A 25,980-nucleotide genomic window follows, 5' to 3' on the forward strand; every position below is an offset into this window, starting at 1 on the left:
ACTTGCCCAACATCACTCAGCTAATAAGTAGCAGAGCCAGACCTGGGACCTAGGTCAGTCAGGCTCTAGAACCAGTGCTCTTAACCTGTCCCCCTGCCTCTGCCCTTGGCTGGAGACTCTGATCCATCTGCCCCAGTGATAGTTAGGATACCTGCTGACAGGGCCCCGTGGCAGGTGATAGTCGTACCCTGCCCCTCATTCCCCCAGTGCTCACTGTTGAAGTGCAGTAGGGCCTTAGGGGTGACGGGAGTCGCCGTGAGCACCAGCATCTCCAGTCCCTTCAGGCCTTCCCGGCAGACCTCTGCTGCCACCTCCTGGGTGATCTCTGACACGTGGTCAAGCTCCAGGACCTGCAGCCGCATGCAGTTTCTCGCTAGGAAGAGGAAGAAGGGGGATCCTGCTGACACACTCCCCAGGTCACCCCTGCAGCCAGCACCCTGGCTACCACCCTGCCACCTGCCACCACCCAGGCTGCAGCCCCAAGCCCCTGTGGGATTTCACAAGGCAGCACTGCACCCATGCCTGCTTCCCACTACCCACCACCCCAGTCCAAGGAAAGACTCACCGAGTGATGCCAGGCCCTGCACCCCACAGCCGGCACCCCCGACCCCCAGGGCCCGCAGGTGGGGCCAACAGCGACCAATCATCTGCAGGCAGCGGTTACTGAAGCGTGTGGGCTGCTGGCTGGAGAATGGGAAGGGGGAGCCGTCAGGGAAGTCTCTGGATGCTTGATAACCCAGCATGCTCCTCCTGTGGGACCCCTCCCTGACTCAGGCAAGCATTCCTCCAACAACCCAGCAGGTCAAGTCAGAGAACCAGGATCATCCCTGACTCCTCTGCCCTCATCTCATCCACCAAGTCCTGCAGATTCTGATTCCCAAGCACTCTTTTTTTTTTTTTGAGACAGGGTCTCAATCTGTCACCCAGGCTGGAGTGCAGTGGTGCAATTTCGGCTCACTGCAACCTCTGCCTCCTGGGTTCAAGCAATTCTCCTGCCTCAGCCTCCCGAGTAGACAGGACTACAGGCATGCACTACCATGCCCGGCTCATTTTTTTGTACTTTTAGTAGAGACAGGATTTTACCATGTTGGCCAGGCTGGTCTCAAACTCCTGGCCTCAAGTGATCTGCTGCCTCGGCTTCCCAAAGTGCTGGGATTACAGGTGTGAGCCACTGCGCCCGGCCTTAAGTACTCTTGAACCCACAGTTCAGACCACCATTGGCATTCTCTGGGTTAGCACTAGTCTCCCTGCATCTCATCCTCCACACTGCAGATAGGGAGCCCCTCATTCCTACATCCACTCACTCTGCCATTCAGCAAGTGGTTATCAAGTCAACAACAACTGAGCTAGGCCCTGGGGGTACAGCGGTGACAACATAGACATGGTCTCTACCCTCAAAGAGTGGACAGTCTCTTTGGTGGCAGAAGTTGTGGGGGGCATAGAACATTAACAGTCTGATCTTAATCCCTTTCTTAAAATCTAAAATCCCGCCAAATAGCTTCCAATACTTTCTAGATAAAATGCAAAAAAACCTAAATTCCTTAGCAAGGCCCTTCCTGATTGCCCCAACTTTCCTTTCCATTCACACCAAATGCCATTTCCCTAAACATTTCAACCCTCAACATTTGCCCAGGCAACAAACATCTCTCTGGCATCTATTATGCATTTGGTACTAGGGATACAGAAATGGACATTCCTAGATTCTGCCTTGAGAACAACCCATCTGGTGGAGGAGATAGAAATATAAAGAAATTATTGCAAAGTAGGGCTGGGCGCGGTGGCTTATGCCTGTAATCCCAGCACTTTGGGAGGCCGAGGCGGGCAGATCACCTGAGGTCAGGAGTTTGAGATCAGGCTGGCCAACATGGTGAAAGCCCGTCTCTACTACAAATACAAAAATTAGCTGGGCATGGTGGCCCATGCCTGTAGTCCCAGCTACTTGGGAGGCTGAGGTAGGAGGATCGCCTGAACCTGGGAGGTGGAGGTTGCAGTAAGCTGAGATTGCACCACTGCACTCCAGCCTGGGCAACAGAGCAAGACTCTGTCTCAAAAACTAAATAAAAAAAAAAAAAGAAATTATTGCAAAGTAGATGACAGAGGGGTCAGGGCAACATGCAGTGGGGATTGAGGCAGGGGAGCAGTGACACACTCTACCCAGGGTGTTACAGAAGGCACACTGGATGACTGGGAGGAGCTGTCGCGTGGAGAGAGGCAAAATGTAGGGAGCAAAAGAGCCTGGTGTGTTAGAGGAACTCCAAACAGAGTGAGAAATGATTTCATAACCTGGATTCTCCAATGACCAGCTCTTTCATACACTGACCTCCCTGAACCACCTTTCATATGTCAAACAAAGCTGGTGGTTTTTAGCTGGTGTTTACTGAACAATTACTGTGGACCCTGCAGGCTTTGTGTACCTGATCTCATTTGGGCGAGCAACAGCCCTAAGGTCCATAGTTCCTAATACCACCTTTACTTTGCAGTTTGAGAAACTAAGACATGATTGAGATTGCCAAGGTGGCACTGCCAGTAAGCCAGGACATGACCCCAGGTCTGATTTTATTTATCTATTTATTTATTTATTTATTTATTAGACGGAGTTTCCATCTTGTTGCCCAGGCTGGAGTGCAATGGCACGATCTCGGCTCACTGCAACCTCTGCCTCCCAGGTTCAAGCGATTCTCCTGCCTTAGCCTCCCCAGTAGCTGGGATTACAGGCATGCACCACCACGCTCGGCTAATTTTGTATTTTTAGTAGAGACAGGGTGTCTCCATGTTGGTCAGGATGGTCTCGAACTCCAGACCTCAGGTGATCCGCCCGACTCAGCCTCTCAAAGTGCTGGGATTACAGGCGTGAGATACCGTGCTCGACCAACCAGGTCTGATTTTAAAGCCCTGCTCCTAATGCCTCAATGGACAGATTAATGTGTGTGGATCTGTCCTAATAGCTTGTGGAATGGGCTCAGATCTGCTAAGTCCTCAGCCCCAGACCAGGCCCAACCGTGTCCCCCCTCCTATCCCCCAAACCTGCCAGGGCTCACCAGGGGTGAAGTGGTGCCACTTGGAGGGAGACGATCTCTCTGCAGCCTGCGCCCAGGGCCCAAATGACCTCATGGCCCACGGGGTCTGTGGCACTCCTGTGAAAAGACAAAGCTGCTAGTCAGGCAGCAGGGTGGCTTATACTGGTAATCCCAACACTTTGGGAGGTCAAGGCCGAGGTTGGGGATCGCCTGAGCCCAGGATTCCAGACTAGCTTGGGCAATACGGCGAGACCCCGTCTCCATTTAAAAAAAAAAAAAGAAAGAAAGAAAAAGAAAATATACAAGACAAAGCTGGAGTCGCCCACAGTGGTGGCCTCTGCTCTTGCCAAGGCTTCCTTTCCTTCAGCCATAGAGCTCTTGGATCCCTTTGCTTGAGAACCCTGGGGGAGGCTATGCAGCACCTAGGGATCCGGTAGGACCCTGGGCTTAGAGGGAACAGGCCATGCTTCTAGTCGGTTGACCCACCTGTACGTGACAGCCTGCAGGGCACGGCAGTAGCAGCTGGCCAGCCAGAGCGAGCGGTCGGTGAGGATGTTTGGACAGTGGGAGATGCGCAGGATCAGCAGGTTCCCCCCAGCTGCCTTCAGCAGGGACTCCAGCCCAGCTTCCAGGCAGCCCCTGGGGATGACCAAGAGGTCAGAGAGCTGGCAACCTCCTCCTCTGGGAAACTTAATTCCAGGTCTGTGGCCCAACAGCACCCACCACCCACCCATCGCAGGCCTCACCGGGTGCTCCGGGCATACTCCTCCTTGCTCTCCTTCTTTCCCCGCTGCCGGGGCTTCAAGTTCTGCAGCGTCAGAGAGTGGGCCTGGGTGCACCACTGAGCCAGCATTGCCAGGAACTGTGGGGGAGGGGAAGGACATTTGGAGATGAAGGGGTCTGAACTTGGTTGGCTGGAGGTGGGCCAGCCCCAGGATAGAAGGCCCCATGAGAGCATTTCAGGGAAGCCAGGTTGGCATTACAGTGTTGTAAGGGTTGCAAGGACCAGACCTCAAGGGGCCAGATTCTACCCAGGGGGAAAGGTGGGTTCACAGCAGGGCACAGAAGGCAGGCAGGGGCAGGTACCTTGGAGCAGACACGGGCATTCTCAAGCAGCACCCTTGTCCAGACTGCGGGGTGGCGGGCCACGAAGCGCCAGTCCCGGCAGACCTCGGCAGCATGCAGCAGTGTGCGCGTGTCCAGGTAGGTGAAGATGCAGAAGAGGGCAGCTCGCATCTTCAGGATCTCTGGGCTGATGACCTCATTGGAGCGTGAGGGGCTGACCCTCTCTGCTCGCCGACCCCGCCCACTGCCTCCCTCGGGGCGGGCTGCAGAATACCAGGGGTTCAAAAGTGAGCGTGGAGGGTCAAGGCTGGTGTGGGGATGTGTGTGGGGAGCTGGGGCAGGGTAGGATCTGCAGAGGAATGGACATGCTGTGGTACCAGGGCCTAGGGAGGAAGGAAAAGGGGCCTCTGCCTCCCTGTCCTTTGCGGTACCCCATCTCCAGTTTTACAAATTACAAAAAGGCATCCCTTGTGTAAACTTCCTTTTTAAGGTTATATATCATTCAAACTCACCCCCTACAAGAGGCAACACATCAGATTTGGAGAGTGAAAGGGGTTGGGGGGGCGGTGGTGCTGGAGTATAAACCAGGCCTCTGGAAACAGAAGGCAGGCATGGGGCTGCCCAGAAGATGGGGTGTGGCTACACCCCTGACCCTAGCCCTCTCACCTCCCAAACCACCCACATATGTGTGGTGCCTTCTGTGAATACGGTGGGGGGCCTCTCCCCCACTGCACCAGGGGCTTCAGAGTTTGGAGGCAACACTCAACTGTTCTCCTGTAAATGTTGATGAGCCTACCACGTGAATGGCCCCCCTGCCCCCCAGATGTGGCATCCTTGTGCAACAGACAATCTGAGCATACTTGTGCCACTGCAGCCCTGCCCTGTCACAAGAGTTCCTGCCCCAGGCTTGAAGGGCGCTATGTAGGAGGGGTGGGCAAGTCTGGGGAAAGGGGAGGGGGGTGCAGGAGCCCAGGAGATTCACTGCCTCAGACCTGTGTCCCCCTGCCCAGCCTTCCGGGACCTACCTGAGAGCCGGCAGCTGCTCAATGGCCCAGCCATAGCAGGCCCGGGGCGGGGCGCATCCAACGGGCCCTCAGCCTCTGACTCAGTGGTTCGGGAGCCAACGTCGGAGACATCACCCTCTTCCCCCTCAGTGCTGTGTCGGCGGGGTCTGCGCTGCCAGTTCTGGATGGCCTGGCGCCGCAGGCCTGAGCTGCGAGGGGGCTGGGACCGCTCTGAGCCCCCGTTGGCAGCCTGGGCCCGTGTGCCCAAGCCCCCAGGGCCACTGTCCTCAGGGGCCCCCTCCTCTGGCCTGGGCAGCTCCAGACTGTCACTGTCATAGCAGCCTGAGCTCTGGGATGCGGCTGGCACACGGCTGGAGGCCCTGGGGCAGGGTGGACCACACAGTAAGGGGTAAGAGGCACCAGGCCTACCCAAACTCCCCATCCTGCCCCTACCATCAGCTGAGGGCAACCCACCCGCCCTGCTTTCCAAAAGCCCCCTCTGGGTGTGGAAAGGCAGACATACGTGACCCAGGGAGGGTAGGGGCAGGAGGGTGACACAAGCCCCAGACAGGCCAGCGGATCCTTCCAGGGTGAGGGTGGGCTGCATGGGGTGGGCTGGGCCCAAGGCTTACCCTGTGCTCGGAGAGGAGCCATGCCGTGACACTGCATATGTGTTAGGCACGGCCGGGCCCACGTGGTGTTCTCGCTGTGGGCCCCCAGAGCAGGAGGTAAAGGAGAGGGGCGGAGGAGGCAAGAGGATGAGCAGGAATAGCAGGGGAAACAGGGCAAAAGATGGAGAGGAGATGGGGGAGAGGAGAGAGAAGGGAAAATAGTTGGGAAAGATGGACAAATGGACAGACAGACAGCCCAGAGAGGCAGGCTTACCAGCCCCTCCCCACACCCACACAATACCCTGGACCCCAGCTTGTGGCTCCTGGACTCTCATTTGCAGGGATGGGCAGAGATAGCCCCCGAGGGCTGGGGCCACCGAATCACATCTCACTACAGCCTCGGGGGCTGGCACTGGCACTCCTGCCCAATCAAAGGGGCTCCCCTGTTCCTGGCATCTGCTGGTGGGGTAAAAGCCAAAGAAGGGGCGAATGCGGCATCATGGGGGAGATGTCCAGCCATGTGAAAGGTGAGGTTGTGGGGGGCCAGGTGTGCAGGTAGAGGAGGGAAGGCAGGTGGGCACTCACCATTCTGCCTGGGCCCCGGGCATTGGGTCCAGCACCACCGCCCCCACCTCCACGGCCCAGGCTGGCGCTGGGCGTGCTGCCACAGCTGCTGCTGATGACCTGCAGCTGCCGCTCGGCACGGTCAGCCCGCTCAAGGAGCTCCTCAATGAACTGCTGCAGCCGCAGCTTGGCGCTGGCCTCCCGCGCCGCCGTCTCCTTCAGGAACTGGTCGATCTGCACCACCTCCCTGGGCCCAGAGCAGTCTCTTACCCCAGAGCCTCAGCCTGCCTGCCCACCCACCCTCTGGAGGAGAGCCTGGCCAGTGCGGGGAGACACTGGCACAGCTGCCTGCGGTGTCTGCTTATGGTCACATGGGTTCCTGCAGAACAGGCCTAGCACACAGCCCCGCACGATGACACATACAGAAATGCATGCATGCACTCCGAGCCACACACTCACACCCCACCCACCTGGCCCCAGACCCTGCTCTCCACAGAAATACTGCACACCCTGCTCTCCACAGAAATAATCAGGCATACTCAGTCCCACACAACCCCAGGCATACATACATCCCCACACACATGTACCCCATGTACATCCATATGCCATAACCAGACACATCTCTCTCATACAGAAACACAGACATGTTCAGTCACATGTGCATGTCCTTCGATACCCAGCATCCCAACACAGAACACTCCTAGGCACACACTTAGAGCCACCAGCCATGTCACATATCCCCACACAGAGGCTCATTACACAGCCCCAGGCACAGCCTCACACATTCATGTTTGTGTAGTCACATCATGTTCCAGCTTGGGCATGTGCTTACGTGTGAGACACGCAAAGAACCATTGAGGCACAGTACCACCGACACAGTCAAACATACTTGCAGGAACCTTCAAAAATACACACTAAGTCACATCAACCCACAGAGGAATACACTCAAATGTGGAAGCATACTGATAGTTTGCACCAACTTGTAGGAGCTGCGTGAACACATGGCACACTTAGAATCACATGCATACTTACTCCCAAATGCATTCCCGGTTGTTTGTGCATCCATTCAACATTTATTGAACACCCTCTAGGTGCCAGGCACTGTTCTAGGTATTGGGGAAATAGCAGTGAACAACTCCTGTCTTTATGGAGTTTATATGACAATGGGGACACATAAATAACATCTATATACAAATGCTCCTTGGCTTACAATGGGGATACATCCCCCTCATCCCATTGTAAGTTGAAAATATCATCAGTCAAAAATGCATTTAATGCACTTAACCTACTGAACATCAGTGCTTAGCCTGGCTTGCCTTAAATGTGCTCAGAGCACTTATATTAGCCTACAGTTGGACAAAGTCACTCAACACAAAGTCTATTTTATAAAAAAAAGTGTTGATCTCATGTAATTTGTTGAATACTGTACTGAAAAAAACAGTATGGTTGTACATACTGTTTTTCATTTTCATACAGTACAGTTTCTACTGACTGCATGATGCTTTTGTAGCATCGGAAAATCAAAAAATTGTGTCAAACCATTGTAAGTCAGGGGCCATCTGTAGTTCATAATCCTACATTTAAAGACCAGAGAAATGAAGAAGATTGAGACAGATAGAAGGAAATCCCAAGAGTGTCCCGGAAGCCAAGTGAAGAAGGCATGTCAGGGATCAGCTATGTCAAATGCCACCAATGGGCCAAGTAAGACGATGGCTAGGCCTTAGCAACAGGAAGGTCGCTGGTGACATGGGGACCCTGGTAGAGGTGGAAACCCGATCAGCCTGGGTTCAAGAGAGAAAGTGAGGAAAGAAATTGGAGACAAGAAGTATAAACAAATACAAGGAGTTTTCTGTAAGGAGGAGAGAAAAGGGGCAGTAGCTTAAGGGGAAGGGGGTTATGGCAGATGGGAGAAATGACATGTCTGTATGCTTTTAGAAATATGCAGAAACAAAAAATCGGGTGATGGAAAAGGAGAGGGGAGAGTTGAGCTATATCTTTGGCTAGGCAAAAGAGAAGAGGATCTGGTGCCAAAATGCAGGGGTTGGCTTGTCTAGGACAGAGAACGAGAAAGGCAGACTTCACAAAGAGGCACAGGGTCACACTGCCATGTCCTCACAGTACCACATATCATCATGACACTCTTGGCCCCACATGCATGCTCCTGGCCACGGATCCTCTATTACAAAGCCATGGCCACATACAGACACACTCAGGCACGCCCACGGTGGTGGTGGTGGCACAGTGACCCGCACAGGCACAACCACTCACAGGGCCCCGAGGGTCTACTCACTGCTGCTTGCGGCTCAGCTCCTGTTCCTTGTGCACCAGGTCCTGCTTGAGTGAGGCCAGCAGCTCTACGCTCACGTCCACCTGGCGGGAGAGCTCAGACGCGCGCTCCTCCAGCTCCTCCTTCTCGCGCCCGAGCCTCGCACTCTCCTGCCGCGCAGTCTCCAGTTCGGCCGCCTTGCGCTCCAGCTCGGCCTGCAGCCGGCCCACCTGGCCCGCGATCTTCTGCTCCACCTCCTCGCTCAGCCGCTCCAGCCGCCGGTCCACCTCCAGCTTCTCCAGCGCGCGGATCTTGAGGCGCGCCAGGCCCTCTTCGTAGGCCACATCAGCGGGTGAGGGGGACGCGGGCGAAGCGGAGGCAGGCCCGGGGCAAGGGCCGGGGCCGGGGCCAGGCGGCGGCGTCGAGCACGCCGAGGACGCCACGGACTTGCGGGCGAACAGCTCCCCCAGCGGGATCTCGATCTCGCGCAGCGCATAGCGCGCTGCTGCGGCGGGCACAAGGCCCGGCTCGGCCAACTCCTCACAGGGCAGGCTAGCGGGCACCAGGTCGCCGGGGAAGTGGGCGAGGGGAGCGTGGTGATGGTGGTGGTGCAGCAGGTGCGGCGCCGCGGGCGACGGCCCGGCCGCCTGCTCCTTGCCCTGGAAGGAAGTGCTCTCGAAGACCTCTCGCCGGGCGCCGGGCACGGCCAGCAGGGCGGCGGGCTCGGGAGCCAGCGGGAACCCCGAGGCAGCGGCGGCGGCGGCCGCGGCGGCGGCGGCGCCGTCGCAGATGCTGTTGGTCTTGGAGAGGATGTAGAGCGTCTCGTAGGTGTGGCTGTACTCCAGGTGCGCGCGCAGCGACGACAGGCTCCGGAAGCGCTTGTGCTCCCCGCAGCGGGGGCAGCGGTACGGCAGGTCCAGCGAGGCCATGGCCCCGCCGCCCCCGCGGCACGCGGGCTCCACCGCGGCCGCCCCGCCGGTCAGCCGGGCGCGCTCATGGGGGACCGCGGGCGAGGCCCCCTGCGGGGTCAGGAAGGCTCAGGGCGCCCGCGGCCTGGGGCGAGGAGGCTGGAAGAGACGCGATGAGTCTTAGGAAGAGGGTATCGCTGCTCCCACCCTGGCTCCCAGCCCGGAGCCCTCATCCCCCAGCCATGAGGAAATCAGCATTGAGGGGCAAGGGGAGACCTCCCAGAGGAGGCTGGCCTGCTCTGGCACCTGTGCGAGGGCCTGTATGTGTGCAAGAGACAGCGAGAGAATGAGATAATCTGTTTTTAAAGGGGCAGGCGCGTAATCACTTTTATTTATAATGGTTCCAACCTGGAAACGACCCAAGTGCCCATCAATGGTAGAACGGTTAAACTGTAGCATATTCATGATGGAATCTACCCAGCAATAAGAAAAGAAACTATTGGTACACAGTGACATGGATGAGTCCATCCAATATTATGTTGCATGAAAGAAGCCAGACCAAAGAGTGCATGCTGTAGAATTCCAGAGAGATGGAGTTCAAGAACAGACACAATTGATGATGAAGTCAGCATAGAGGTCCCCAGCTGGGGGCTACATGGACTAGGAAGGGGCAGGAGGCAGCTTTATGTGATGCGGAGAATGTTCTCTATCTGCTTTGAGTGGTGGTTATACAGTTGTGTACATATTTAAACAATCATCAAGCTGTATACTTAAAATGAGTGTAAAAATCCTTGGAAAGAACATGCATGCTTATTTTCATTTTTTGCAGACTGCACCCCCACACAGGCTGGAACTATTGGTACCATGTTGCAGTGACCAAGACATCACTCTACCTAATGACATCGCATGTGTCGCTGTTTGTTCTGTCCCGACTTCTGCACCACATCCTCCTATCCCTACTACTCCAGGCCCTTAGGTCTTTTTCTCAGACCTAGAAAAGGTGAGGTAGGCTTCCAGTAAGTGTCCCTGCCCTGCCTTTACCCCAAGGGCTTTATTATCCATCCTCCCCACACCCCTTTTGGCACAAGGTCCCTCCATCCCCCCACCAATTCTGGCATCCCAACCCTCCTCACTGTCAACTCCTGCTGCCCCTCCATCTCTGGCTTCTTGTCACTCTTCTCCTACCTTGTGGGGTCTCCATCCCATTCCTCACTGCCATCCTCTTCCTAACTGCCTGCAATAGGGCTTCCACTGCCCTGTGATCAAGGTCACAGACCACCTGCTGATCAGACAAGCCAGTTGTCATCAAGGGTCTTCACCTACTTGGTCCCATGGCCGATACTGTTGACCCCTCCATCTTCACAGCTGCCATGAGCTTTCCTGTCTGGATTTTCCCCTGGGTTCTGCAACTTCCTGTTCTTGCTGCCTTCCTAAACGTCCTCATTCCCTGAGGTCTGCCTCTGGAGCCCTCCATCTCTATTCTCCCCCTAGGAAGGCAGTCAGCTTCCCTCACACAGGTTTACTTGCACCTGTAAGCTCTACTTCTCCATCCTGACCTGCCGCATAGTTGTGTTGCCTTCTGGCATTTCCACAGGATGTATGGGTGGATGTCTGTTCCTTTTGCCAGCCCAGCATCCAGTCCTCCTCCTGGTAACAGCACCCTGCTTTGACCATAGGGAACCATCCTTCCCCACTTTCTCAGTCCACATGGTCTTGGGGATATGACATAGACCTGGCAAATCAGTCGTGGGGTAAACATAGAGCACCAAAGTTGAGCCAGTGAGCCCCAGGACTGTTCTGGAATGACTGAGGGAAAGCATTGTCTTTGGGATCAGGTTTCTAAGCTGATGGAGAAGGCCAGAGCTGCTGGTGCCATCCTTTCTCCTTTTGGGAGGAGACACCTGGGAATGAAGCCAACCCAAAGAAGCAAAACTTAGATGGAGAAACACATTCCTCACAGACACTGTTTGAGAGCCTGGCCTGTTCAGTTACACAAGCCAATCAATTCTGCACTCCCCCCCCCCCAACTTCTTTTTTTTGAGATGGAGTCTCACTCTTTCACCTGGGCTGGAGTGCAGTGGTGCAGTCTCGGCTCACTACAACCTCCCCCTCTGAAGTTCAAGCGATTCTCCTGCCTCAGCCTCCCGAGTAGCTGGGACTACAGGCATGTGCCACCACGCCCAGCTAATTGTTGTATTTTTAGTAGAGACAGGATTTCACCATGGTGGCCAGGCTACTCTCAAACTCCTGACCTCAAGTGATCCACCTGCCTCAGCCTTTGAGTGTTGGGATTACAGGTGTGAGCCACTGCACCTAGCCCCTATTTCCCTTTTTTGCTTAAGCTAGTTACAGTTGGATCTGTGTTACTTGCACCCAGAAAATATCCTAACCAAGAAATTAGAATCAGAGATGGAAATTTTTAATAGATCCACAAAAGAAATTAGCTGAACTAAGGAGGGGGACATAAGCTGGCACTACTTCCCCCATTCCCCACTCACAGGTTGGTGAACAGAGCAGCAGCAAAGCAGATGATTAAACTGTCTCCCACCATCCCTGGAGCTCAGGCCATGTACCTACCATGGCTGGAACATTAGGGGATTTGTAGAAAAATGTCAGGATGTTGGGAGTGTCTTTCCAACGGCCTCAGTAAGGTCCAACAAGCAAGAGACACACTCTGGTTGAAAGGAGCCCATCTGAAAGCAGAGAGGAAGAAAATTTGGGCTTGCCCAGAGAGGCCCTTTCTGCCTGCAGCCAGTAATTCAATATGGCTGAGAGTCAGATAATTAAGAGCCAGTTCTTTGCTTCAAGCTAAAGTCAGCTCAAGCGAAGACAAAGAGGCTGGGAACTAAGAGGGAGATAAGCCTGGGGCCTGACAGGTACTCAACTCCTTGGGCCCTGCTGAACCCTTCCTGCTGTGCCCTCCCAGCTGGACAGAAGCTTCCATTATAAGCAGCCTTCCATTGGGATGCAGCTTCAGTGAGAAGGGGCAGATGACCTTTTGCCTCCCTCCCCAAAGTTGGAGTTTGCTTTGCCCTGTGGCAGAGGCCCAGTTAGAGGCTGCAGAACCAAGGGCTCCTGGGATGGGCAGAACACTGAGGCCTGTTGCTAAGAGATAACCCCTCCCTCCTTCTACACCACCACCAGGGACTTCATTCAAGAACCATAACTTTCATAGAGGTCTCTAGCTTTGGTTAATAGCTCTGGGGATAACCAAATGCAAACTGACTGAAAAGCCTCCCAGGGATTAAGGGGATTGTATTGCCAGAAAGCCCCCACAAACCAAAGGATTGCTCAGCCCCTATGGTTGCCCTGAACCTCCCCAAACATGCACCCTTCAATGCCCCTCTCACAGAGACAGCAAAATCAGAGCAGTGAGATTGGTGTACCAGGAAACCTCTTCCTCACCATTCAGTCAAGCATGTGGACCACGGTCCAGGTTTTTTTCCTCACCCCCCTCTTCAACTAGGAGGGTTTTTCTTCTTCCAGCTATACAGTTTTCTCTCCATCATTGTAGTTGGGCCTTAAATGGAAAGACCATGACCTTAGTACCTAACCAAACAAACAGCCCCTTGCCATTGCCAAGATGTTGAATTGGGGATAGATGTGGTAACTGGGTGAAAACTTGGAATGTCTCCTCCCAGAAGTGGGATAACTGTGCTTTAAGTTTGGTGAGGGATAGTTGCATTATGATAAACAGGAAAATATTTTTTAAAATTACACAGTAAAGGGGGTCTGTGTCGATCTTTGACATCTAAGAAGTGAAATACAGTGGACTTTTATTGTTTTTGCTGCCCGGCTCTAGTCCCTCTTTATTGTGAATTGATCCCCAATTTTCCCTTTGAGAACCATTGCCTGCACTTTGAATAGATTTGGGTAGGGCTGACAGCTTCCATTGGCTCCCAGGGAACACACATGACCTCAGTCTGTTCCATTAGAATCACAGTGGTCAGGTCAGTAATGGACTCATTTCTCAGTCTGGGCCGATACAGTCACTTCGGGAGCTGTGCTCAGTTGGTAGGCTGTGAGCCTGGAGCCTCTTGTGGCCATTTTTGCCCTGTCTTTGAGACAAAAGTAAAGGACCCCTGATGATATTTGAGCATCCACATCCAGATGTGCCTGAAGCTCTAACCCAGGACTTGACCATTGAGAAGGGCTGCAAATGTTTTTGTAGCTTTTATCATTTGGGTCGGTTGCCAGTCTCTAGTAATGAGACTCCAGACTAACACAATGGCCCACAGTGTCAAAAACAAATCCCAGACTTCTCCTCACCTACTACCCAGCACCCCTGTTTCCTTTGGTGTTACTGTCCTCCCAGCCACAGCACTGGCCATCTTGATTTTTCTCTCTGCTAACCATCAAGACCTACTGGTTTTTCCTTCCAAGTGCTTTCAACCCAACTGTTCTTTTCTCATGCTTTGTACTCTTCCAGGCCACAACCTCATCACATCTAGACTGCTGGCCCAGCCTTCAGTCCCGCAGCTCCATTCCATCTGTAAAGGCATCGGATTCCTCTGCTCAGACTCCTTCAAGGGCACCCCCATCCACTACCAACTGCAGCCAAACTCCTCAGCTTCACGATCTGGCCCCTGTGCTCTTGCCAATTTGAAACTGGAAAGTGGCCTGGCTGTTTCACTTGCATGTCCTTGATTGTGATGGCTGGACAGTTTTTCACACATACACTGGCCATTTCTATCTCTTTGGTAACTTGCCTGTGCACTACTTTGCTCATTTTCATACTGAACATTCATATTTTCTTATCGATTTACAAAAGCTTTTAATATTATTGATCCTGTGTCATTTATATACCTCAAATATTTTTCTCAAGTGTGTTGATTGGCTTTTACTTTTGTTTATGGTCTTTATTGATATACTAGAGTTTTAAATTATGCCGCCGTAAAATCGGATTTTGTTATTATGCTTAGGAAATCTCTCCCTACCCAGAGATTATAAACAGTTACATATGTTTTCTTTCGATACTTGTGATTTCCTTTTTTTAAAATTCCAGAATATTTTTTAGAATTAAGGGCTTTAAACAAATAGCCCTAATACCATAGACTGACAATGACTTGGTAGTATTAAATACTTTAGGCTGTATGATTTCCTTTTTCCTTTTGGATTTTTTTTTGTTTGTTTGTTTTTAGAAACAGGGTCTCACTATGTTGCCCAGGCCGGTCAGAAAGTGCTAGGCTCAAATGATCCACCCACCTCAACCTCCCAAAGTGCTGGGATTATAGGCCTGAACCATTGCATCTGGCCTACATTTGGATTTTTTTTTTCTTTTTTTTTTTGGAAACGGAGTATCGCTCTGTCGCCCAGGCTGGAGTACAATGGTGCGATCTCAGCTCACTGCAGTCACTGCAATCTCTGCCTCCTGGGTTCACGCCATTCTCCTGCCTCAGCCTCCTGAGTAGCTGGGACTACAGGCGCCTGCCACCATGCCCGGCTAATTTTTTGTATTTTTAGTAGAGACAGGGTTTCACTGTGTTAGCCAGGATGGTCTCGATCTCCTGACCTCGTGATCTGCCTGCCTCAGCCTCCCAAAGTGCTGGGATTACAGGCATGAGCCACCGCGCCCGGCCCTTTTTTTTAAGACAGAGTTTCACTTTGTCGCCCAGGTTGGAGTACAGTGGTGTGGCGATCTTGGCTCACTGCAACCTCCGCCTCCTGGGTTCAAGTGATTCTCCTGCCTCAGCCTCCCAAGTAGCTGGGATTGCAAGCACCCACCACCACACGTGGCTAATTTTTGTATTTTTAGTAGAGACAGCGTTTCACCATGTTGGCCAGGCTGGTCTTGAACTCTTGACCTCAGGTGATCTGCCCACCTTGGCCTGCCAAAGTGCTGGGATTACAAGTGTGAGCCACCACGCCTGGCCCATTTGCATTTTATAACCCAGCTAGAAATTTTTGGTGTGCATGGTGTGATAGGAATTTTTAAAAACCAACTTTCCATTATAGACATTTTCACACATGTTCAAAAATAGAGAGAGTATTATGATGAACTCCTAGGTACCCATCATCCAGCTTCAAGAATTCTCAACTCATGGCCAATTATTTTTCATCTGCACACTACTTCCCTGCGTCACACTTGCCCTGTCCCCACTATTGGATAATTTTGAGCAAATCCTAAATATCATATTATTTCATCCATAAATACCTTAGTATATGTGAGACAAGCCTTAACTTTCTTTTTTCTTTTGGACAGAGTTTCGCTGTGTCTCTCAGGCTGGAGTGAAGTGGCGCAATCTTGGCTCACTGCAACCTCCACGCCCTGGGTTCAAGTGATTCTCCCGCCTCAGCCTCCTGAGTAGCTGGGATTACAGGCGTATGCCACCAGGCCCAGCTAATTTTTGTATTTTTAGTAGAGGGGGGTTTCACCATGTTGGCCAGGCTGGTCTTGAACTCTTGACCTCAGGTGATCCACTTGCCTCTGCCTCCCAAAGTGCTAGGATTACAGGCGTGAGCCACCACACCTGGCCAAGATTTAACTTTCTTTTTTTTTAAAAAAATGATATGTAGTAGGCTAGGTGTGGTGGCTCACGTCTGTAATCCCAGCCCTTTGGGAGGCCGAGGTGGGTGGATCACCTGAGGTCAGGAGTTCGAGACCACCCTGGCCAACAGGGTGAAACCCCCTCTCTACTAAAAATACAAAAATTAGACGGGCATGGTGGCAGGTGGCTGTAATCCCAGCTACTCAGGAGGCTGAGGCAGCATAATCACTTAAACCCGGGAGGTGGAGGTTGCAATGAGCCATTCCGCCATTGCACTCCAGCCTGGGCAACAAGAGCAAAACTCCATCTCAAAAAAAGACAAAAAAAATGGTGTGTAGTAATTGTTTCAACATCACCATCCTTTAGGTATATTAAAACCCAAAATGTAGCCTTGAGAAGTAAATCCAAAACATGGTTCTTTGAAAAGACCAGCAAAATAAACAGCTCTCTGGCAAATCTATTCAGAGAGAGAGAGAGAGAGAGAGAGAGAGAGAGAGAGAGAGAGAGGGAGAGAGGGAGAGAGGGAGAGAATGCATTTATATATAACACATGGGGGAAAAAAAAAGATAACTGCTGGCACAGAGAAGATTTTCTTAAATTACTACCAGGTACAACTCTTGGCCAAAATTTTTGAAAATCTGGGTAAACTGAATGCTTTTCTAGGAAAATATAAATTATCAAAATTGACTCAAGAAGAAATAGAAAACTTGAATAGACTAATAACTATAGACAAAACTGAAGAAGTTGGCAAAGTGACCAGAGATATTCTAGAGTTCACACACATACAGAACTGTTCAAGAACAAGGATATTCTATAATGTATGGTGAGCCTGGTGTCAGGGTATCTGTGTGTATCTGTTCATCCTAACTAAGTGCTGGTCCTTCCTGTGGGGGGCATCTTTCAGGGCCCCAGAAGTAGCCAGCCTTCTCCCCACCCTGCCCTCTCTCACCATACACTTTTGAAGTGCCCCTTTTTGCCTCACAGCATCCTGCTAGCCAGGCTGCCAGACAGCAGGGGAAGGGGAAAGTCTGGGGGTATCAGCCTGTGGATGGATGTGTAAGGTGGAGGAGGAGAGGGACTTCTGGGGTCCAGGTGCCTCTTCACCCCAGGCCAGCCCTCCTCCACAGTTGCCCTCCATCTGCTGGAGCTGAGGAGTGACTATAAATCTTAGGAAAATTTTTGTCTAGATTTATGCACCTCCTAAGCGTGAGCCTGAAGCTTTGCTTGAATGCAGGCAAGAGGGCAATAAAGGCAGGGGGAGGTAGGACAGCAGGAAAAAGGAAAACAGAAGTGTTGTTCAAATTTCATCACAGGTCTGTACTATGAGCACCATGACAGAACAGTTGAAGATTTTCCTTTGCATTCTTGTGTCCCCAAATCAGCAACCTCTGCAGCCCTAAGACTTGCCTCCTTTTTTGGCCTGGCCCTGCCTCCAGACCTGTGATGCTCCTCGTATCTGAAATGCCTATCTCAAGCCTACTCTCTTTCAAGTCCTCATCAAGGTTTTCTTTGGATAGAAGGATTCTACAGGCTGAACTAATCAGAGGTACTTTTTTTTTTTTTAAGGCTTACAGGTATGTGAGTCTTACCTCTTCAAACAAGACCAACCATCTTAAGATGTGTGTCTTCTGTAGCTCCTGTTTCCTGTCACATTCTCACACATTGGCTTTGCCAGCAACACAGATCATCTTGCATTTCTATGGCTTCCACCATCATGTGGTCACTGATAGTCCCTGCAGTGGGCATTACGATTTTCATCTGCTCAGCAAGTCTTCTTCACCTTTTGGTAATAGCAACATCTCATCCTTTCTTTAGTGAGCTGCCCCTCTGTACTTTATGTGGTTGTGGCCGGGTTGTCAATCCTAGTAGGTGGGCACATGACCCAGGCCTGGCTAATCACAGTATTTCTATCTTCTTGGCCACAGTGATTGACCCAGGGTTGAGCACATTCCTCAAGCTGAGCCAACAGAGTCCTCTATTGGGAGTTTATATGAAAGATAAAGTAGTCCTCTTGTCCCTCTGGGATCCCATGCTAGGACAGTGAAGCTGTCTATGGCCTTGTGCAACCTCCACCCATCACATGGAGAAAGCCCATGCATGGTGGGGAACAAGGTGGCAATACTCAGAGGAAAGCTGAGCCAAGAGCTGTAAAGTCCTCACCACATCTGTGAGGACCTAGGTGTCTAAGACTCATTCATTTCCCTTCTTTCCAGTTATATGAATTGGTAAATTTACTTAAAGTAGTTCAGGCTGAATTTCTGTCCCTTGCAATCAAGTGTCCTAACTAATAGTCTCCCAAATCTGCATTTCTAGCCTAGATTTCTCTCCTAAGCTCTATTCAAACACGAATTTATTCTATATCTATTTACTGAGTACCTACCCTGTGCCATGAGCTATACCAGGTGCTGTGCTAGGTTTGTTGAGGACAAAGACAAACAAGATCCAGTCCTGGCCTGCAAACAGTTTGTTGTCTCCCAGGGCTGACTGAGGTGTTAGAGTATACAATTATGAAATAAACATTATGCAAGAGGCAGGCACGGGATTCTACACTTAACTTGAGGAATTGGGGGACTGGGGAACCCCCAGAGGTGGTGGCATCTAAGCTGACTCTTGAAGAGCAAAATATAATTGCCAGGTGAGGAAGAGCAATTATGAGGTTGGGGTAGGAGAAGAAAGACAATCGGAGCACATGAAACAGCATGTATAAGGGCAAGGAAGTGAGAAAGAGTATTCCTCCTTCAGGGAACTAAAATGTAAGCTCCTTGAGGATAGAGACATTGTATATCTCAATCACTGCTGTTTCTCCAACACTTCTAACAGTGCCTGGCATGGGGCAGGTGCTCATGGGGTAGTGTTTGTAGAATGAATGAATGGCAAGGGCTTGATCAGATTTACAGTTTAGAGAACAAAATACAGAGAGCCAAGGTCAGGAAGAAGGTTGTTGGAACACCGGAAGTGGAAACTATTAACCACGGTAGCAGGAGTGCAAATGGGGAGAAGGATGGATATGGGAGCAATTAAGGAAGGAGAGTCAAGAAGGCCTGGTGACAGAATGACTGTGGCAGGTAAGAAAGGGAGGACTCAAGGATGAGGCTCGGGTTTGGGTCTTAAGCAACTGGGGAGATGAGGATGTGACTCAGTAAGGAGGAAAAATGGAGGAAGGCAAGTTTTGAAGGGAGATAATTTTGGCTGTGGATTCCATGAGGTTGAGGTTCCAGTGGGCCGTGGAAGTAGAGATATTCAGTACATGAATTGCAACACGGAGCCAAAAATACAGTTTTGGCAACTTAAGGGTAAAAAGGAAAGTATTTAATCAATGAGCAAGTCCAAGGGAGAGGGCTCAGAGAGAGGGGAGCTGGGGGAAAAGATGGACCCTCAGAGAGGCAGAAGAACAAAGAGGTTCCTAAGAACCAGCAGCAGAAATGGGAGTTCTGGCAAGGAATGTTAGGGAAGAGAGGATGTCCAGGAGAGGAGTGAGCAACAGTGGAAATAATGTTGAAAACTCAAGTAAGAGCAGAAGAGGGAAGGGCCCACTGGGGACTTTCAAGACTGCTGCTTTGATGGGCCTGGCTGATGTGGGCTGAGGAGTGAGTGAGGTAAGGACGTGAGGAGACAATGAGTGAATACAAGAAGCTCAACTGTGAAGAGGAGGAGGCAGCATGGGAGAATCCAGAAGCAGTTTCTAAGATGGGAGTGACCTGAACATATTTAAATGCTTCTTAAGGCTAACCTAATTTTACTGTATATCTTCACTTCCGCAGGCCCGAGGCACGAATAATTCAATGCCTTAGACCTGAAATGTATAACAATTCTTTTTTAAAAAATGCTTCTTAGAAGCAGCCAGTAGACAGGGAGAGGATGAAAAGGGTGCTATTTCAATGTTGGCGGCTCAAAGCTTAACGTGACTAATACTGAACTCACAATGCCCCAACACCCGCCTTCAAACATTCTTTCTCATGGCTCCCATCTCAACCAATACCCATGTTATATACTCAGCACCCTGGATAGCGACCCCCCCTGCCCCCGCCCCTCAACCCCAAAACGCCACCCTGGCAAGCCATCTCAGAATTCTCAGTCCCCCTCAGATCTCATCAATCACTGATTTTTGTCCACACTAACTTCTAAATATTTGATTTTGTCTACTTTTCCTAAAGCCACTTCCCCAGTTCAGACCTATATCCCCTTCTATCTGGACCACTGATATTGTCTAACTGGAGTCTATAAATCTCCCAGCTTTGAATTCTCACAGCTTCCAAAGTTTTCTGCATATATTGATCCAGTCATGTCACTTTTATTCTAAAAACATTTCAGAAGGCTGGCCATCTTCTGAGAGGTGACATCCACCCAGGCTTGCCCACCCTCAAGACTGGCTGGAATCTAACCATCCCTGAGCTCCGCCCACTCTAGCTTTTGTCTCTGCTTCTCTCCCATGTGTGTTCTTAGGGTGCCCTACAAGATTTTGCTCCATGGGGAAATGCCAAGTCTAGGCTCATGCTGGTCCCTCTTCCTGGGACTCCTGGGCCTGAATTCTGCAGGCCCAGCTCAAATGCTACCTTTTCCATCAAGCCTTCCTTGACCTCTCCCTCTACAGCTCAAATCACATCACTGCATGAATCACTCCTTACTGCACCTCTTCAAGGATGTGGTAGCAGACATCACATACTGATAATCATGGACATGTTTGCACATCAAATACCTCCTAACACATACACTGGAAGCAGAGACAATACAACTGATTCATCCTAACACACAGTAGATATCAGTATGTTGTTAGAGGAATCACACTGAATAATGGAGAAATTGATTGACTTCATGTAACCAAAGCAATTTCCACCACTTGTTATCATGGAACTGGATGAACTGGTTACAATTAAGTAAATCCAAGAATCACCTTGAATAACAGGTGGCTTCCTGGTTCTGCTGGTCACCTACTGGGAGGTAAGAGCTTGCTGTGTCTTCTCAATGCTGCAGCTTTGCTCTAGCTGAGCTCTTAGGCTTAGGGCTTGTCTGCTTCATTCCATTTTATCCACCCAGCAAACGATGTCCAGCACAAGGCCCATGTTAGGCACTGGGTACACATAAATGAATGAGAGTTGTGCCATTAGGGTGCCTGTAGTTTAACAATCAAAACAGTGAATACTTATCTACTAATGATTCTGGTCAGACATCATGCTATTCACTTGGTCCTCACAACAATGCTGCCAAGTAGGTGGTACTGCTTCCATACTAGGATGAGGAAACTGAGGCTCAGTGTCCAAATCACTTGCCCAAGGAAGGCCTGTAATGGACTGTTGCTTTGGTGGTTCCCAATGAGACATGCCTCCCAGTATTCCTGTCCTTATGTGCTCTCCTCCCACACTGACTCAGGGATTGGCCATGTGACTTGCTTTGGCCAACTGGACATTTGCAAGCCTGATGCAGGCAGAGGCTCCATCAGCAGTAACTTAGGACTTGTCCTCTTGGAATACTCCCTCTTGGGATCCAGCTGCCACATAAGAAACTTGGGCTAGACTAGCAAATGATTAGATGCCATGTGTATTAAGACCCTGAAGAATGAGAGGCTATTTTGATGTCCCTCTCCTGTTAGGCTCTCAACATAATGCAGCTGTGTGAGAGTCTACGTGAGACCAGCAGGGCCCACAGCCACAGACACAGTCACAGCTGACCCACAGACCATGAAGGAATAATAAATCGCTGTTGTTTTAAATCCAGAAATTCTGGGGTGGTCTGTTACAACCTAATGAATAACTAAAACCATGATAAACTAGGATTTGAACCCAGTACTACCTGACTACCAAAGCTCATGCCCTTGGTCTCCACATTGTGTTCCTTCTGATTGAGAGTGGAACATCATACTAACAGTGTAATACACACAGGTTGGCCCATGGTAGCATGCAATAAATTTCTTTTTTTTGAGATGGAGTTTTGCTCTTGTTGTCCAGGCTGGAGTGCAGTGGCATGATCTTGGCTCACCCCAACCTCTGCCTCACAAGTTCAAGCAATTCTCCTGCCTCAGTCTCCTAAGTAGCTGGGATTACAGGCATGCACCACCACACTGGCTAGTTTTTGTATTTTTAGTAGAGATGGGGTTTCTCCATGTTGGTCAGGCTGGTCTCGAACTCCTGACCTCAGGTGATCCACCCACCTCAGCATCCCAAAGTGCTGGGATTACAGGCGTGAGCCACCGTGCCTGGCCTAATATTTGTTAAATGAATGGATAAAGGGTATGATAGGCCACTAGAGAGGTAAAGAGATCTAGGGAATTCAAAGGCAGGATGGTAATTACTTTTCAACAACCATCACCCCCTTCCCATTACAAATATTCCAAAACAAGGCTGTGCACAGTGGCTATAATCCCAGCACTTCAGGAGGCTGAGGCAGGAGGACTTGAGCCCAGGAGTTTGAGACCAGACTGGGCAACATAGGGAGACCCTGTCTCTACCAAAAGAAAAAAAATTAGGCAGGTGTGGTGGCATATGCCTGTGGTCCCAGCTGCTTGGGAGACTGAGGTGGGAGGATTGCTTGGGCCCGGAAGGTCAAGGCTGCAGTGAGCCATGATCACTCCACCGCACTCCAGCCTTCGTGACAGAGCAAGAGCCTGTCTAAAACAAACAAATATTCCAAAACAAAAACAAAAATGAAGCCATTTAGGCATTCCTAAATCTAGAAACAACTGTGTGGATATCACCAAACTCCCTCTCTGTGTCTGTCTCTTTCTCTGTTAAATTCAGATCAGGCAAAATTGAGAAGGTAATAGAGTTTGTTTTCTGGTGGCCCTGCCTCCCGGTCCCCACCTCCCCATCACATTCATGGCATCTTCTCTCTTCATCCCACTTGGCCTTCAGGGCCCAACAGTTCTTTCCCTCTCTTTCCATATAAAATCCACATGCAGAAAAGGGGCTGAGAAGGTGGAAATTACAGAAATGGGGAAGGAAGGTTTGGATGTTAACAGATGGATTTACAAGCCAAAGAAATGAAGCTCTAAGCTCGGTACTTTTAGGAGGCATCTGCCAGCAGGTGGAGGTATCCTAAGGATGGGGGAGGCAGCCGGAGTTGTCCCCATTATACCCCTATTAGGCCCCTGTGGGTGGGGAGTAAAGGAATGTCCACTGCCTCTATAAATCCCTCTGAGTCCCCCAAGAAGGCTGGGGCTCTGGCTCTCCACACCTGTGGCTGTGGCCCCAACATGTATACCTCCCAGAGTAGTCACTCCAGCCTGGCGAAGACCCTCAGGGGTCAATGCATCCAGTCCTCTGCCTTCTAGCAGCCCTGGCACTGCTTTTTCTGTTCTAAGCCCTGCCTTACTCTCCTGCTCCTGCAAACAGGCATACACCTCCCAAGGTCACACACAGGCTCCAGAACCTGGATCCCATACCCAGAAAACCATCTGGGCCCCTCGCTGCAGAGAGACCTAAGGAGAGAGCAGGCCCACACAGTACTCGCTGGCCGACTGTGGGCAGTGCACACAGGCCCCGTGTCACACACACTCACATGCAAGGCAATGCGGAGGGGCGCACACATTCAGAGACACTGTGAGCACTGTCACCAGTACAGGCACTGGATGTGAAGAGACAGACACATGCGTGCACACACATGCACACCTCCAGACTATCACACGTGCACACCGGCACGCACAGACACCCGCACAGGTGCCCAGCCAGGCCTCAACACCAGGCCCCTCCCCCAGCCCCTCAGAAACCGGTAGGGAGGGTTGGGGTTTCAGGGCGCTTCCCCTCCCCCCTCCCTCTGGCCCCTGTTCTCCAAGGTCCAGAGTCCCAGTGGGGTTCTGGAGCCCGCCCCCGCCCCAAAACCTGGCTCAGGGAGCGACAGGCGAGAGGGGGGAGGGGAAGCCTGGTCTCGAAACGTTCTGATTTTAATTTCTTAAATTAACCCCTTCCCTGCCTCTGGTCTGGCCTGCCCAGAATCCCTCCCCGTTGGGCGGCCTCGCGGGCCTCCGGAGGGCTGTGAAGGAGCCGGAAGGGGAAGAAGGGACAGTGGCTGGGGTCCTCCCTCCTTCCCTCTCCGGGAGCAGTCCCGCAGCGTGCCCGCGACTCGCCCTTACCTCCTCCACCCCGCGGCGAGGCCAGGCCCAGCGGCCCAGGGCTGGGGACGCAGAAGAGCCCCCGCGTGCCCGGTCCAGACGCAGGGCCGCCTTGGGGCCTCGGATCTCGTTCCCCTCCGCAGCCTTGGGTGGCCGCCGCGGCTAGCGCCCCCGCCTCCCTCTCGGGGCGGGGGCGGCCGAACCTCCCAGCCAGTCGCAGCGGGAGGGGCGCACGAACCCGGCGGGAGGAAGGATGGAGGAGGAGGAGGAGGAGGAGGGGGAGGAGGGGGCGCGCGGGCCGAGGAAAGCAAGGGAAGGGGGAGGGAGGCAGCACCGAGGTGGGGCGGAGCCGGCCCCTCCTCCGGGGCGGGCTCTCCAGTGAGCTGGGGAGCGGCAGATGCGCCCAGCAGCGGCTGCGCCGGGACCCCACGTTTTCCGCTCAAGGTGGTTTCGATGGGGGAGGGGTCTTCGGCGCCGCCCTAGGGGTGTAGGGATGGCTCGCGCCGCGCTCCTCCCGGGTCCCAGTCTTCCCGGCTCCCGGCACCGCCCAGTGCATTCCCCGCCCTGGGCACCTCCAGCTGTGGCTTCTGTTGCCCACCTTGAATCAGGGCCTCTCCGCCCTAACCCTAGCACTCTGGCTTGGGCCTGCTTCCACGCGGGGGCAAATCCGGGGGTGGGTGGTTCTGTGAATCCGGAAGGGGGCGGGCGCAGGCGCTACTCCTGAGACATGCGCCACGGTCCCTAAGCGGCCTCATGGGCAGCGCGCCTGGGTCGTGCACTCGGCGACCTCGGGTCAGATGCTTGGTCTCCGCGGAGACCGCCTGGGATGATCCCCTCTGGGCATTCCTAGGGAACCCGCGGAACTGCTGCTGGACCCCATCCGGAGACCCAATTCTGCTCTTAAAGAGCCGCCTAGGAACACGTGTACCCATCACAAATCCCATCCCGGACCTAGAGGAGGAGGAAAAGGCCTCCAGGTCCCTGGTTCCCTCCTACCCACTCCCACCATTTGGCTAAGATAGCAGCCAGGCTTCTTGGGACTGGAGCACCTAGACGGCCCCACCTTTGGCCTAAGGCCTACCAAGCTGGTGAGGCAGAAACAATCTGGCTGTCGTACGCTTGGAGGAAGTCCACAGGGCTGCAGTGGGGCTGAGAAACCACACAGGGTTTGGAGGCAACCAAGGCCAGAGCAGAGCTGAGGCTTGGATGAGAAAAGGGGGAAGTGTTATTTCAGCCTGAGGGTGGTGCTTGGGTAGGGCTGTGCACATGTGCCTTGAGGGGGAAGTGTTATTTCAGCCTGAGGGTGGTGCTTGGGTAGGGCTGTGCACATGTGCCTTGAGGGGCAATCTGGTTGCAGGAGAGCAGAAACCCAACTTAGTCCCAGGATTCCAGTAACTCGGGCTCATGGGAATTCTCTTTGACCCCCATCCCATTCCTGTGAAGGCAGAGGCATTGGGACATTCAGTATCAGGAAGGATAATTTGTAAACTTGTCAGTGGCTTTGGGGGAATGGCAAACTTAATAAGGACAGAGGCTGTACAGTGGCCAATCAGGTTGAATTCCCCCTCTCTCGATCTTCTCTTCCTCTCTGTAGCTCCTGAATTTCTTTCCTCCTCGCGGAGGTCTTCTGAGATTGGACAAATGAGAAATCACTTTTCCTAATACCCAAACGATAACAGCTCCTATTAACCAGGCACCAAGCATCATGCTAATAATTTTTATGCATATCATTTGCTCTTCCTAATATTATTATTATCCCTACTTTGCAGATGAAGACGCTAAAATTCAGAGCTCAACACATGGCATAGTCAAGACTTGAACTCAAGTCATCAAACTCCAAAGTCTATGCTCAACCACAGTGCCCTCCTGCCTTCTCTGCTATAATACAGTCCACTGGACCTTCACATGTCAAAATGCAGATTCCCCAAATCCATCTGCTCTTGCAGATGGCCAAAAATGTCCATATATTGTCTTGGTTTCACCTTTGTTGTGATGTTTCTCCTCACTCTGTGCATC

The 25,980-nt window shown here is 51.9% G+C and overlaps 1 protein-coding gene and 1 long non-coding RNA gene across 8 annotated transcripts in view, besides 7 other annotated features; one reads left to right on the forward strand and one right to left on the reverse strand.

The window, feature by feature from the left end:
• Positions 1 to 24,304, reverse strand: part of FBXO41 (F-box protein 41) — a 29,789-nt gene extending 5,485 nt beyond the window's left edge. Inside the window, exons 1-15 of one of the 7 annotated variants that reach the window (NM_001080410.4) lie at positions 23,986 to 24,304; positions 20,815 to 20,991; positions 17,513 to 17,656; positions 12,841 to 12,955; positions 12,013 to 12,128; positions 8,552 to 9,594; positions 6,283 to 6,508; positions 5,719 to 5,792; positions 5,108 to 5,466; positions 4,104 to 4,345; positions 3,764 to 3,879; positions 3,504 to 3,656; positions 3,039 to 3,134; positions 566 to 684; positions 215 to 373 (exon numbers count right to left, since the gene is read on the reverse strand). In NM_001080410.4, coding sequence (NP_001073879.2) covers positions 215 to 373; positions 566 to 684; positions 3,039 to 3,134; positions 3,504 to 3,656; positions 3,764 to 3,879; positions 4,104 to 4,345; positions 5,108 to 5,466; positions 5,719 to 5,792; positions 6,283 to 6,508; positions 8,552 to 9,456 — 2,449 coding nt within the window. In that variant the 5' untranslated portion in view covers positions 9,457 to 9,594; positions 12,013 to 12,128; positions 12,841 to 12,955; ... (1 more) ...; positions 20,815 to 20,991; positions 23,986 to 24,304. Of the gene's footprint in view, positions 1 to 214; positions 374 to 565; positions 685 to 3,038; positions 3,135 to 3,503; positions 3,657 to 3,763; positions 3,880 to 4,103; positions 4,346 to 5,107; positions 5,467 to 5,718; positions 6,157 to 6,282; positions 6,509 to 8,551; positions 11,337 to 12,012; positions 12,129 to 12,840; positions 12,956 to 17,512; positions 17,657 to 20,814; positions 20,992 to 23,985 lie in introns of those variants that run through there. The other 6 variants (XM_047443458.1, XM_047443459.1, XM_047443460.1 and 3 more) reach the window with 6 other exon arrangements.
• Positions 9,084 to 10,027: an enhancer, noted in NCBI's record as "H3K4me1 hESC enhancer chr2:73496386-73497329 (GRCh37/hg19 assembly coordinates)". NCBI's record gives its function as "activates a minimal SCP1, AML or CMV promoter by ChIP-STARR-seq in naive H9 embryonic stem cells {active_cell/tissue: H9 hESC(naive)}" and the evidence as "EXISTENCE:reporter gene assay evidence [ECO:0000049][PMID:30033119]".
• Positions 9,182 to 9,281: a silencer, noted in NCBI's record as "silent region_11638". NCBI's record gives its function as "represses an Ori minimal core promoter by ATAC-STARR-seq in GM12878 lymphoblastoid cells {active_cell/tissue: GM12878}" and the evidence as "EXISTENCE:reporter gene assay evidence [ECO:0000049][PMID:35858748]".
• Positions 9,472 to 9,531: a silencer, noted in NCBI's record as "silent region_11639". NCBI's record gives its function as "represses an Ori minimal core promoter by ATAC-STARR-seq in GM12878 lymphoblastoid cells {active_cell/tissue: GM12878}" and the evidence as "EXISTENCE:reporter gene assay evidence [ECO:0000049][PMID:35858748]".
• Positions 23,841 to 23,930: a silencer, noted in NCBI's record as "silent region_11640". NCBI's record gives its function as "represses an Ori minimal core promoter by ATAC-STARR-seq in GM12878 lymphoblastoid cells {active_cell/tissue: GM12878}" and the evidence as "EXISTENCE:reporter gene assay evidence [ECO:0000049][PMID:35858748]".
• Positions 23,951 to 24,360: a silencer, noted in NCBI's record as "silent region_11641". NCBI's record gives its function as "represses an Ori minimal core promoter by ATAC-STARR-seq in GM12878 lymphoblastoid cells {active_cell/tissue: GM12878}" and the evidence as "EXISTENCE:reporter gene assay evidence [ECO:0000049][PMID:35858748]".
• LOC124907840 (uncharacterized) lies at positions 24,360 to 25,945 on the forward strand. Its single transcript, XR_007087013.1, has 2 exons — positions 24,360 to 24,408; positions 25,734 to 25,945. It is a non-coding gene; the product is annotated as an uncharacterized LOC124907840 (long non-coding RNA).
• Positions 25,091 to 25,270: a silencer, noted in NCBI's record as "silent region_11642". NCBI's record gives its function as "represses an Ori minimal core promoter by ATAC-STARR-seq in GM12878 lymphoblastoid cells {active_cell/tissue: GM12878}" and the evidence as "EXISTENCE:reporter gene assay evidence [ECO:0000049][PMID:35858748]".
• Positions 25,281 to 25,330: a silencer, noted in NCBI's record as "silent region_11643". NCBI's record gives its function as "represses an Ori minimal core promoter by ATAC-STARR-seq in GM12878 lymphoblastoid cells {active_cell/tissue: GM12878}" and the evidence as "EXISTENCE:reporter gene assay evidence [ECO:0000049][PMID:35858748]".

This window comes from Homo sapiens, chromosome 2, assembly GCF_000001405.40.
Source record: "Homo sapiens chromosome 2, GRCh38.p14 Primary Assembly".
NCBI classification, from domain to species: Eukaryota; Metazoa; Chordata; class Mammalia; order Primates; family Hominidae; genus Homo; species Homo sapiens.